General features: G+C 35.1%; 1 protein-coding gene across 7 annotated transcripts in view; it reads left to right on the forward strand.

Annotated features, from left to right (window-relative positions):
- The window catches only part of CAMSAP2 (calmodulin regulated spectrin associated protein family member 2), a 121,812-nt gene that overhangs the window by 88,251 nt on the left and 20,420 nt on the right, over nucleotides 1–13,141 (forward strand). For 4 of the 7 annotated variants that reach the window (NM_203459.4, NM_001297708.3, XM_047416200.1 and 1 more), the window contains 2 exons: nucleotides 5,057–5,198; nucleotides 5,563–5,702. In NM_203459.4, coding sequence (NP_982284.1) covers nucleotides 5,057–5,198; nucleotides 5,563–5,702 — 282 coding nt within the window. Of the gene's footprint in view, nucleotides 1–1,429; nucleotides 1,463–5,056; nucleotides 5,199–5,562; nucleotides 5,703–13,141 lie in introns of all 7 variants that reach the window. The other 3 variants (NM_001297707.3, NM_001389638.1, XM_017000799.2) reach the window with 1 other exon arrangement.

Below are 13,141 nucleotides of genomic sequence, written 5' to 3' on the forward strand. Positions count from 1 at the left end.
TTTCCTTTTTCCGCCAAGAAGATTGCTGTTACCAGTTTAGATCAATGGAGGGCCAAGAGAAAGGCCAGAGCAGTCTGAATTAGTAACAAAATCCAATTATTGCATATTTTACAAGAAATATGGAATAACTTTAACCGTTAAGAGACTTCTTTGTACACCTGCTGTTAGGAATAGTCCACAATAATTTCTTGTTATCACCATTTTCTATTTAATGGGTTCTTCTAGTCTAGAAAACAAAAAAATCCTTGTTTTTAAAATTTCTGTTACAAATTGGAAACCCTGACACGTTTTCAGTGGCTTCCTGCTCTTTGGTCCTGCTCTTGTACTTTTTGTGGCTATTATAACTGCAGCTGCCAAAAACGTTCAGTTAAATGGGAGATTAAAATACATTCCACAAAATTATTGAGGCTATTCTTCCTGGTGCTATAAGAAAAATTTATTGGAAATGTTGTTTATATGTAGGAAGCTGGTATGTTTCTGATTCTTCAGGTGACATTTTTCTAATTCTTAAAGTTCTTGAAAATACCTTATTTATATTATTTTTCTGTTTATACGGAAAAACTTTCTACATAAAAATTTTGGATATGAATTTTAATTTTGGATATGAATTTTAACTCAGATTCTATTTACTTTGGTTCACTTCAACAAACATTTATTCAGAGCCAGAAGCTGTTTTAGCAGATACAAAGATAAACAAACACAAATGATTAATTCATGTTATCTGAAATTATGGGTTTATTATATTCATTTTTTTAAAGAAGAAAATTAGATTCTTTGGGACAGCCCTAGATAGTAAATTTAATAACATTTATATTCTCTTTGTGTGAGTAGTTACTTGCTTTAGACACTTACAAAAATCTTAACTGGTAACAATTGCCAACTAGGTTTTTTTCCATTAATTAAAAGAAACTTTTTATATAGTGAAGGAAATGATCATCTTGATATATTCTACTATATTATTATTTGCTTTATACTTGTTTTTATTGAAATTATCTTTCTACTTTGCTTTTTGGGGAATATTGCCTTGTCAGACACAGTCTACTAATACCTAAGAATTATGATTGCAAACCTAGCTGTAGAATATTTTTACTTCCCTTTTGTGATATAGATTTATTTTTTAATATGACATATGATTCCAAAACTCAGAAATAAAATTTTTTGCTGCTAAAGTATACAGCATATTCTAGGTATCCTACAATGAATATCTGTATGGGGAGAGGAGAGAGACAGGAGAAGATAGTGGTCTTTAGCATTAGGAACTTATGTATTTTTAACTAAAATATTTATTAACATATGAAATGTTATGAGAACTATAAACTTGGAACTCCACTATCAGAAGCTTTACTATAATTTGTTAATTGAAGATAATTCTGATGAATTTTCCCTTTACCTTTTGCTTTCCCCTTTTTTCCCGCTGCTTCCTCTGAAGTCTCCTTCCAAATGGTTTTGGAAACTGGTTCCAGTAAGTTTGCTCAGCTACTTCAGTTTGCTCTCCAGAATTGTAATTGTAGAATGGTATTGTTTATGTCTTGCTGTTAAAGTCATTTCATGTAATTCTGTTAGTCATTGAATAGAGATTGGATTTTAAGGTCATGTAAAATGGAAAGATAAAAGATACAGCCAAGGTTTAGATCAGAAGTTCTAAAAATAATTTAAAGGGTAAACATCCTGTTGCTAATCTTGTCAGTATTCACAGACTATCAGTAAGTAGGTTAAAAAAAAAAAACTTATGGGCCAGGTGCGGTGGCTCACACCTGTAATCCCAGCACTTTGGGAGGCCAAGGTGGGCAGATCATGAGGTCAGGAGGTCGAGACCAGCCTGACCAACATGGAAAAACCCCATCTCTACTAAAAATACAAAATTAGCTGGGCGTGGTGGCGCATGCCTGTAATCCCAGCTACTCGGGAGGCTGAGGCAGGAGAATCGCTTGAACCAGGGAGGCAGAGGTTGCAGTGAGCCGAGATCGCGCCATTGCACTCCAGCCTGGGCAACAAGAGTGAAACCGTCTCAAAAACAAAAACAAAAACAAAAATCTTACTATGTAGCTTCTCATTAATTTAAATAATTTTAGTAAATATTAATTTGAATTGCATGAATAAATTGCCTGCATTTAAAAATCATCTTTGTGGCTGAGCATGGTGGCTCACGCTTATAATCCTAGTACTTTGAGAGGCCAAGGTGGGAGGACTGCTTGAGCCCAGGAGTTCAAGACCATCTTGGACAACATATTGAACCCCCATCTCTATTTTTAAAAAATTATCTTTTTGACAGACCTAGTTCCTTTTCAGCTTGAATTATAGATGACACTTCACTTTTTGTGTGATTAAGAAAGCAGAAGGTTTTCTGTGACCTCACCAGTAGCGGACCAAAACCATATTAAATTCTGATTTGACTTAAAGATTGATCTTTCAGATTTAAATATGGGGATGGGTGTGTTAAACCACTTAAGAACTATTTTACATCCTCGATAATAAAACTCTAATTTAGAAATATACCATAATGGCCGGGTGCGGTGGCTCACGCGCATAATCCCACACTTTGAGAGGCCAAGGCAGGTGGATCCTTTGATCCCAGGAGTTTGAGACCAGCCTGGGCAACTTGGCAAAACCTCATCTCTACAAAAAATAGAAAAATGAGGCAGGCATAATGGTACACATTTGTGGTTTCACCTACTCAAAAGGCTGAGGTGGGAGAATCACCTGAGACCAGGAGGTCGAGGCTGCAGTGAGCCATGATTGTGCCACTGCACTCCAGCCTGGGTAACAGAGTGAGACGCTATCTCCAAAAAAAATAATAATAATAAAATAAAAATAAAACAAACAACAAAAAAAAGGAGAAGAAAATAAATATACCATAATGTTGAAATATAAAAATATAGGGGGTTCTTTCTAAATGCCAAACTTCTTAGTTTGCAGAAAGAAAGGGCATGTTTCCATGCAATAAGTTTATAAAGCAAATAGCATGTTCAAGTACAAAAGACTCTTTCATGAACTGCGGATGAACCTTCTGAGTGCTGGACATAATCTCAAGATTTAAAGTTGGTTTACTTAATATATCTTCTAGAATACAATCTTTAGGAAAATGTTTTGGCATCCCATTCATAATTCTCTGTCTAGTCTAAACCATAGATACTTATTGCTAATGTCATATAAAGCTGTGTGTGTGTGTGTGTGTGTGCACGTGCACATACATGTGCCTGTTTGCACATACCTTGTACAAAAGTGCTACTTTGCAGGAGGGAGTAGAACAAATCACATAATTCAATTCTTTGTTGCATGACCCTGGGTGCTTGGCTTAGTCCAATTCAGGTCATAGGCTGAAAACAAACTACTAGTCCCAGCCCAATTTTGAGGATGTCCAAGAGGCAGACTGTTTTTATCCCAGATAACCAAAGAAAAGCATGTAAGGATCTGGAACAGATACTAATTGTGAGAACGGTAGCTTAAGCCTAGAAGATACCGCTGTACTGGTTGATTTCTTTTTTCTTTCTTCCTTCCTCTTCCCTCCCCATGGTTGATTTTAAGCTGTTTCTTAGCTGCAAAGTGAGGAATTTTCTAAGAATTATGTTAAAATCAGAATCAATTAAAGAATCCATATAGTACCTGCAAGTAATTTTTTTCTGAATATAGTTACCCCCTGAATTAGGGATGTACTCTTAAATACGGAGTCTATTATGCACTAATTAACAAGAACCTTCAGAAATCTTTAAGAGGAAAACATGTTCCATGAATTTTGTCCTTGGGTAGCCAGTGAGAGAAATCCAGGAATAAGTATCTCCTTCTTCATTAATGCTGATGCTTTTCTGAGAGATAGCATTGAAAAGAAATCTAACTTCACTACCAAATGTTGTGTTCTCTTTCAGTAAATTTTTATTTTTCTATTTTTATTCTCACAAAAGTGTTTTATCTTATAATTATATTTTAATTCTAAACTATAGAGATGACCAATTTAGATGGAATTAGAAGAAAAAATAGTTTGATAACCTTAAAAAAACTACCAGTAATTTATGTTATATATTTTGCTAGCAAAATACTTTCGTGTGTACATTCACTAAATCTTCAGCATTATTTTACTTGGCTTTAGAAGAGTTAACAGCTAATAATAGCTAACCTTTATTGATTGCTTGCTGTGTGCCCAGCAGGATGCATAGCACTTTGTGTCCATCATCTTACTTAATCTTCCAGTGGTTCTATGAAGTGGGTACTATTATTACGCCAGTTTACAGATGGGAAAATGAGAAATGAGAGTTTAAGTAACTTGTCCAAGATCACAAAACTAGTAAGTGGCAGAACCAGGATCTGAACCAGGATCTGAATTTGTTCTCTTAACTATTACAGCATGTCTCATTTTTTAGAGATCTATTTTTAAAAATTCTATCTAGCCACACCAAACAATCTTTAGGAAACAAAGGTTTCTTCTCTTTTTCTGAGGGGGAGCAAGAACCCGTATACTTGCTCAATTATTAATGAAATCTAAGTTGGAAGGGTTTTTTTTTTTTTCACTTTCAAAGTTGTTAACTATTTGTGTTTCCTCAACATTCAGATAATAACCCAGAATGTCTTGGTGATACTATTCCAGTTCCTCAAATTTCTTTTAAGAATAGTATATTCTTTTACCTTCCCCCTCATTTTGATAACTCTTTCTGCTTGAATAGTATTCTTGCTCTTCCCGTATAAGAATTTTCAGTTTAAATTAAGTCTGAATTAAAGTAGATGAATTTTATTATCTTCAAAAGAGCAGAACTGATTATTTGGATACAAAGTGTTCAAAATCTGTTTTGTGATGCTTTTATACTTAAATATTTAAGCCAAATGTCAGTTAGTGTAAATTAGCAGTATGTTATATTAAGTATTGAGCTTCAAAACTATAGCTATTGTTGCCGTGTATTTAACTTTGGTAATACCTAGCGTTATTTAGAAAAAAAGAAATATTGGTGAGTGGTCTCATTTCTCATGATTTATTTTATTACTGGTACATTAGAATTTACAGTACTGATTTTTTTCCTATGCGTTATTTGGTACTTATTTATTTTCATGTATTTTTTTTATATCGTAGGCTCGTTATCGGAAAGAGCAAACATTGCTTAAGCAACTGCCTTGCATTCCATTGGTAGAAAATTTGTTGAAGGATGGGACAGATGGCTGTGCATTAGCTGCCCTTATTCATTTTTACTGTCCTGATGTTGTCAGATTAGAGGGTAAGTGTTCCATTGTAATACTTCTGAACTGTAGACAGATAGTAACCAATATTTAAGACAGTATTATTTTGCACTCCAGCCTAGGTGACTGAGTGGGACCCTGTCTCAAAAAAAAGACAATATTATTTAATAAGTACTGAAGACTTTTTTTTAAAAATAAAGAACATTTATATATAATTCTGAGGGAGGTAGTTCAAAAAAAAATAGTGCTCGGTTTCTAAGTCTTAATGTATAATGACTACTATATTTATAAATGTATGTTTGTTAACCAGAATTGTGTATTTGTACTAATTACAAGATGGATATGAAATATTTATTATCAAATTAATCCAAAGTCACCACCTTGCTCTTTTCTTATTTGAAGATATTTGTTTGAAAGAAACTATGTCTTTGGCTGATAGCCTGTATAATCTGCAGCTGATTCAAGAATTTTGCCAAGAATACTTGAACCAGTGTTGCCATTTCACTCTGGAAGATATGCTCTATGCTGCTTCATCCATAAAGGTAAATTAAATTATTCTTTTTTTCCCTTTGCTTTGTTAAAATATGTTTTTTTAAAAAACAAACAAAAACACCGGGAACAGTGGCTCATGCCTGTAATCCCAGTACTTTGGGAGGACAAGGTGGGAGGATTGCTTAAGCCTGGGAGGTTGAGGCTTCAGTGAGCGATGATCGTGCCACTGCACTCCAGCCTGGGCAACAGAGCAAGACCCTGTCTCACAAAATAAATAAATAAAATTTTAAAAATAAAAAATAAACCATAGAACAAGATATATAAATGACCTAGCAACTTTAAGCTTATAGATTAACTATATTAGTCAAAAGAACTTTTGAAGAAAGTTTTTAATTTTTTTCTCCTTATTTTGTTTTTTAATATACTATAAGCTACAAGTTTCTTTTATAGTGCAAAGCCAAACTTAAAGTCATGTACAAAATTGGCCAGTTGTAGTGACTCGTGCCTGTAATCCCAGCACTTTGGGAGGAGGAGGTGGGCAGATAGCTTGAGCTCAGGAGTTCAAGACCAGACTGGGCAACATGGTGAAACCCCATCCCTACAATAAATACAAAAATTAGCTGGGAGTGGTGGCATGTGCCTGTGTTCCCAGCTACTCGAAGGCTGAGGTAGGAGGATTGCTTGAGTCTGGAAGGCAGAGGTTGCGGTGAGCTGAGATCGCGCCACTGCACCCTAGCCTGGGCAGCAGAGCCAGGCCCTGTCTCAAAAAAAGAAAAAAAAAAGTCATGTACAAAATTGATCTATTGTCTTAATGTTTGCAAAATAGAGAATAAGCCATTAAATGTTTCTTACAAATAGCAATGCTTACAAATAGTAAGATTCTTTATAAATAATGAAGCTTTCTTTTTCTTAAAGAATTTTTAATTTTTGAATTAAAAAATTAATTGAAAAGTAACATTATGTACTATTTAACTACCATTATGCATAAATATATGATATGTATAGTTAAATGATATGGTATCCTTGCGTATTTTTATGTGTACAATGAGTCATTGAGCATTAAATTGAAATTTAGTTTGTTTATTCTCACTAGATTATATATAATTGTTCTGTAGTTACCAGACTGTTTGAAATTTGTCACGTTTATTGTCCTTTGACTGTAGGCTAATGTATGCTGTCAGATTGTGTTAAAATAATAAAATTTCACATGGGTAGTATTATTTTCTTAATTTTAAGTTGAATATATTTTATTTACATTGATGTTAAATGTTAAAAATAATAATCATGGCTGAGCATGGTGGCTCACACCTGTAATCTCAGCACTTTGGGAGGCTGAGGTGGGCAGATCACTGAGGCGAGGAGTTCGAGACCAGCCTGGCCAACATGGTGAAACCTCACGTTTACTAAAAATACAAACACTAGCCAGGCGTAGTGGCACGCACCTATAATCCCAGCTACTTGGGAGGCTGAGGCAGGAGAATCACTTGAACCTGGGAGGCAGAGGTTGCAGTGAGCTGAGATGGCACCACTGCATTCCAGCCTGGGTGACAGAATAAGACTATGTCTCAAAAAAAAAAAATCATTATTATCATCATCACGAATAGATTTTTGAAAATCATTCCATTCCATTCCCAAGTTTGAAAATTAAGTTGTGTTATGAATACTGTTATTTTTAATACTTCAAGAATTATGTCTTATCCTCCAGATGTTATTTTAGTAATGTTAGTGTTGTACTTTATGTGAGTCAATAATATAAAGTCAATTCAGAAATCAGAAATGTTTTCTAGTTGAGTCATATTAATTTATGAAATACTGAACTACAATATAAAAACTTCAGGCCTGGTGCGGTGGCTCATGCCTATAATCCCAGCACTTTGGGAGGACAAGGCAGGAGGATCGCTTCAGTCCAGGAGTTTGAGACCGGCCTGGGCAACATAGTGAGACCTTTGTCTTTACAGAAAATAAAGTTAGCCAGGCGTGATGGCACACATGTGTAGTACCAGCTACTCAGGAGGTTGATATTGGAGGATTGCTTGAACCTAGGAGGCTGAGACTGCAGTGAGCCCTGATTGCATGACTGCACTCCAAACTTAGTGACAAACCAAGACCCTGTCACCAAAAACAAAACAAAAACCATAGGGGCTTTCTCTTTTAATTTTTAAAGGTTAAAAAAGAGTGTTTAAAATAGTAATTATTTGAAGTTCAAGATTTGCTGTTGTTAAAAACATGGTGGGAATCATATACATGCTATATAAACACAGGCAACCCCCATGTATGCAGTTTTAGTTCTGGTAAACCATTTGGAAGCAGACTGGGGAAACGAACTGGGTACACCTTTGCTTTTGAAGAATTTTAGGATTTGTTTGCAGCTACTCTAGGTTACCAAGTGTCACATGTGCATCATTAGAACAAAGCCCTAATTTAAGACACTGAAGAACTACAGAATGCAAGTGTGTAAAAGTTATTAAGATGAAAAGAAAGGAGCGTTAAACAAGTTTGTCAGCAAAATGTAAAATGGCAAAATTTGGAGATTATTATAACTTTTAGAACATTGCAGGACCCACACTAATGTTTGAAAAATATTTTAGCGAGAGACTATTATATGCTAGACACTGTACTGAGCCTGGGGATTTGGTCATTTATTCATTCATCGGCAGATATTTACTGAGTATCTCCATGTGCCAGACACTATTCTTAGCTTTGGAGGTAAAGCAGAGAACGAAATGGCAGGGTAAACTATAAAGCCAGTGGTAAAGACATTTCTAAAATAAGCCACTGCTCCTGCTGACCCAAAGTTGTACCCAGTCTCTTGTGTCTGACACATCAAAAAAAATTTTTTTCTAATTGATGTTGAAGGTTTACACCCTTGCCATTCATATCAGAATGAAAGGTAATATCATTTCCATATATATCTTGTAATGCTTTTTCTGGTATTTTCAGGTAATAACAGAAATATTAATTTCTGTTAGTACCAGAAAAGGCATCAACATGATATCTACATTGTCAGCTAAAAATTTAAATGCTACTTCTGTAATCTCAAAGGAAAAAAACTGTCTCACTAAATACATGGAGATATAAGATTGCATTTGTTTAAGTTGGTATACCTTGGACTTCCAATACATAATATACAGTCCTGATGTTTATATCAACTTTGTCTGGGTACGACCCATATAAAGATATTTTCTTAAATTAGGTATATTTAAACTATGATTTTCTACAGAAAGGGCTTTGGTCACTTTCTATGTTCTTTACTTATTACTACCACAGCTTTGACTTCATTTGAATCTTTTTTTTTTTAATTCAATCTTATTTTAAACTTTTAGCTTAAGCTCAAGGGTACATATGCAGGTTTGTTACATAGGTAAACTTGTGTCATGGGAGTTTGTGGTACAGATTTTTATTTCGTCACCCAGGTATTAACCTTAATACCCATCAGTTATTTCTCCTGATCCTCTCCCTCCTTTCACCTTCCACTCGTGGATAGTTTGCAGTTTCTGTTGTTCTCTTTCTGTCCCTGTGTTTTCGTCACATAAGTGAGAGCATGTGGTGTGTGGTTTTGTTTCTGCATTAGTTTGCTAAGGATAATGACCTCCAGCTCCATCTGTGTTCCTACAAAGGACATGATCTTGTTCTTTTTTATGGCTGCATAGTATTCCATAGTGTATATGTACCCCATTTTCTTTATCCAGTCTAGCGTCAATGGGCATTTAGGATGATTCCATGTCTTGGCTATTGTTAATAGTGCTGCAGTGAACATACACATGCATGTGTCTTTTTGGTGGAATGATTTATGTTCCTTTGGGATATACCCAGTAATGGGATTGCTGGGTTCAGTAGTATTTCTGTTTTTAGGTCTTTGAGGAATTACCACACTGTTTTCCACATTGGTTGAACTAGTTTACACTCCTACCAACAGTGTGTAAATGTTCCTTTTTCTCTGCAACTTTGTCAACACCTATTATTTTTTGACTTTTTAGTAAGAGCCATTCTAACCGGTGTGAGATGGTATCTCATTGTGGTTTTGATTTGCATTTCTCTAATGATCAGTGATATTGGGCTTTTTTTCATATGCTTGTTGGCCGCGTGTATGTCTATGTCTTTTGAAAAGTGTCTGTTCATGTCCTTTGCCCACTTCTTAATGAGATTATTTTTATCTTGTAAATATGTTTAAGTCCCTTATAGATGCTGGATATGAGACCTTGGTCAGATGCATAGTCCGAAAAATTTTCTCCCATTCTATAAGCTCTCTGTTCACACTGTTGATAGTTTCTTTTGCTGTGCAGAAGCTTTGTAGTTTAATTAGATCCTATTTGTCAATTTTTGCTTTTGTTGCAACTTCTTTTGGCACCTTTGTCATGAAATCTTTGCCCATTCCTATGTCCAGAATGGTACTGCCTAGATTTTCTTCCAGGGTTTTTATAGTTTTGGGTTTATATTTAATTCTTTAATCCATCTTGAGTTAATTTTTTTATATAGTGTAAGGAAAGTGTCTGTTTTCCATCTTCTGAGTATGGCTAGACCGTTATCCCAGCACCATTTGTTGAATAGGGAGTCCTTCCCCATTGTTTGCTTTGGTCAGCTTTTTCAAAGATCAGATGGTTGTAGATATGTGGCCTTATTTCTGGGCTCTCTGTTCTGTTCCATTTTTGTACCAGTACCATGCTGTTTTGGTTACTGTAGCCCTGTAATATAGTTTGCAGTCAGGTAACATGATGCCTCCTGCTTTGTTCTTTTTGCTTAAGATTGCCTTGGGTATTCAGGTTCTTTTTTGGTTCAATATGATTTTTAAAATAGTTTTTTTTAGTTCTATGAAGAATATCATTGGTAGTTTAATAAGAATAGCATTGAATCTATACATTGATTTGGGCAGTATGGCTATTTTAACAATATTGATTCTTCCTGTCCATGAGCATGGAATGTTTTTCCATTTGTTTGTATCATCTCTGATTTCTTTGAGCAGTGTATTGTAGTTCTCCTTGTAGAGATCTTTCACTTCCCTGGTTAGCTGTATTCCTAGGTATTTTATTCTTTTTGTGCCAGTTGTGAATGGGATTGCATTCCTGATTTGGCTCTTGGCTTAACTGTTGTTGGTGTATAGGAATGTTAGTGATTTTTGTACATTAATTTTGTATCCTGAGACTTTGCTGAAGTTGTTTATCAGCTTAAGGAGCTTTTGGGACAAGAGTATGTAGCCTTATGACCATCTTAACTAAAAGAAGGAAAGAAGAAGCTTTTAAATGAATTAATCTGGCATCATTCCTGAAATATGGTGACAGATTTATTGCTGTTTAATCGTCATGAACTCAGAAAGACATAATCTTCATAAGTTTTAATTACTGGGAAAATTATTTCTTACTCTACTGACATCTTGTGGCCAAATAGTACAATTAATGTTATTAGGATGGCTATCTTACCAAAGTCCTTAAAATATTAACTTATTTTCTGTTCAACAGATAATTATTGAGCACTTAAGCAGTATTTTTTCAAAATATAATCAGCTTTCAGTTAACTAGGCTAGTAAAATGGAACCTAGCACCAGTACTTAAAAACCAATTTTATACTTTGGCTTTAGAAAGTATACCATAAAGATAAGTATAAAGAAGAAATATAAATCACAATAATCTTACTAATCAGAAATATTGTGTCAATGTTTTGATGTTTTACTGACTGTTTTTTTTAGTACGTAGATTCATTCATTTGTACATTCATTTAATAAATATTTATTGAGCACCTATCATGTGCCAGACACTGTTTTAAACACTGAAGATATAATGATGAGCATAAACTTTGTCTTTTTAGACTTTATCATCTGGAGGGTAAGATGAGGAAACTTGGAGAATGTAGTAATAGATAAATCTGGGAAGAGAAAAAGGGACTGTACCAAGTAGCCTCTTGTAAGCCATAGTAAGATTCCCTTTACCTCAAGAGCAATGGAAAGAGAGTTGCATTTTGAAAAGTTTGTTTTCTTAGCAAGCCAAAGAAAAAGCTATTGTGTTCCAAACAAGGCAAAAATGTTTGAATCAGAGCAGTTATGATGGAGAGAAGTTGGTGAATTCCAGAAATATTTAGGATGCAAAATCTGCATGCTTTGGTGATGAATTGGACATGGGAGAAAGAAGGTGTCAAGGATGACTCCTAGGTTTCTGGTTTGCACACTGGGATAGTGGTGCCATTCAGTGAGATAAGGACTGCAGTAAGATCACATTTGTAGGGAAGGTCACTATTTCAATTTTGGACATAGGCCTTTGAGATATCCAAAAGAAAATGCTCGGTAGGCCACTGCATATATAAGTGCAGTCAGTACATTTGAGAATCATTTAGTAGCTGATGGACGTAGGCATGGCAGTGTTTCAAAGAGGGGCGAGATCAGGAATATCAAATGCAGCTGAGAGGTCAAGTAAGATGGGAAATCTGTTTGATTTAGCAACATATGTACATCATTGGTGACTTGAGCAGTTGCTGTTAGGGGAATGATGTGACTCAGTGCCAAGACTGAAGTAGATTAGAGAGTAAAAGTGATGAAATGGAAAATGTCAGTAGAGGCCTGCTCCTAAAAGAAGTTTGTGAAGAGGTAAAAAGATGGTGGGAATGAGGAGAAACTAGAGAATAGTTATTGAGTAAAGGTTTTGTTTCATTTATTTTGATGGGAGGGATTTGAGCATGTTTAAAAGCCAAATAGGAAGGATTCTGTTGACAGGGGAAGGATACATATGTAGGAGAGAAAAGTAGGATTAAGAATATAATGGCATTCACAGCAATTTGGATGGAATTGGAGACCATTATTCTAAGTGAAGTAACTCAGGAATGGAAAACCAAACATCATATGTTCTCACTCATAAGTGGGAGCTAAGCCATAAGGATGCAAAGGCATAAGAATGATACAGTGGACTTTGGGGACTCAGGGAAAAAAGCAGGAGGGAGGTGAGGGATAAAAGACCACACATTGGGTACAGTGTACACTGCTTGGGTGATGGGTGCACCAGAATCTCAGAAATTACTTAAAGAACTTATTCATGTAACCAAACACCACCTGTTCCCCTAAACACCTATTAAAATAAGAAATAAATTTTTTAAAACTGTAAAGTTTCTGAGAAGTCAAGCAGGGATGAGAGCCACTGCATAGCCTTTACGGATTATAAGCATTCTTATTACTTTTTTTAGTCACAAATTTTAATGGCTGCTTCAATTAGTATGTATCTGTATATCAACATTCTAAAATTCTGAGAATTTACAGTAAAAGCAAACATGAAGGTAAAGTAGAAACCTACCAAATGCTCTTCACCACTGTGCATTATCTTCTGTAATACTCCAGACTCTTACACTCAGCCACCTACAAGACAGGTCCACTTAAATGTCCAGTGAACATCTCAAACAATGACTCTAGATTCCTTTCATTACCTGTTTCTCCCAGTCCTTTCTATCTCACTATTAGTTGCTCGAGACAAAAACCTAAGAGTCATCACTCTTGATTCTTCTCTTTTCATCACTT

Source organism: Homo sapiens, chromosome 1, assembly GCF_000001405.40.
Source record: "Homo sapiens chromosome 1, GRCh38.p14 Primary Assembly".
Lineage (NCBI taxonomy): Eukaryota > Metazoa > Chordata > Mammalia > Primates > Hominidae > Homo > Homo sapiens.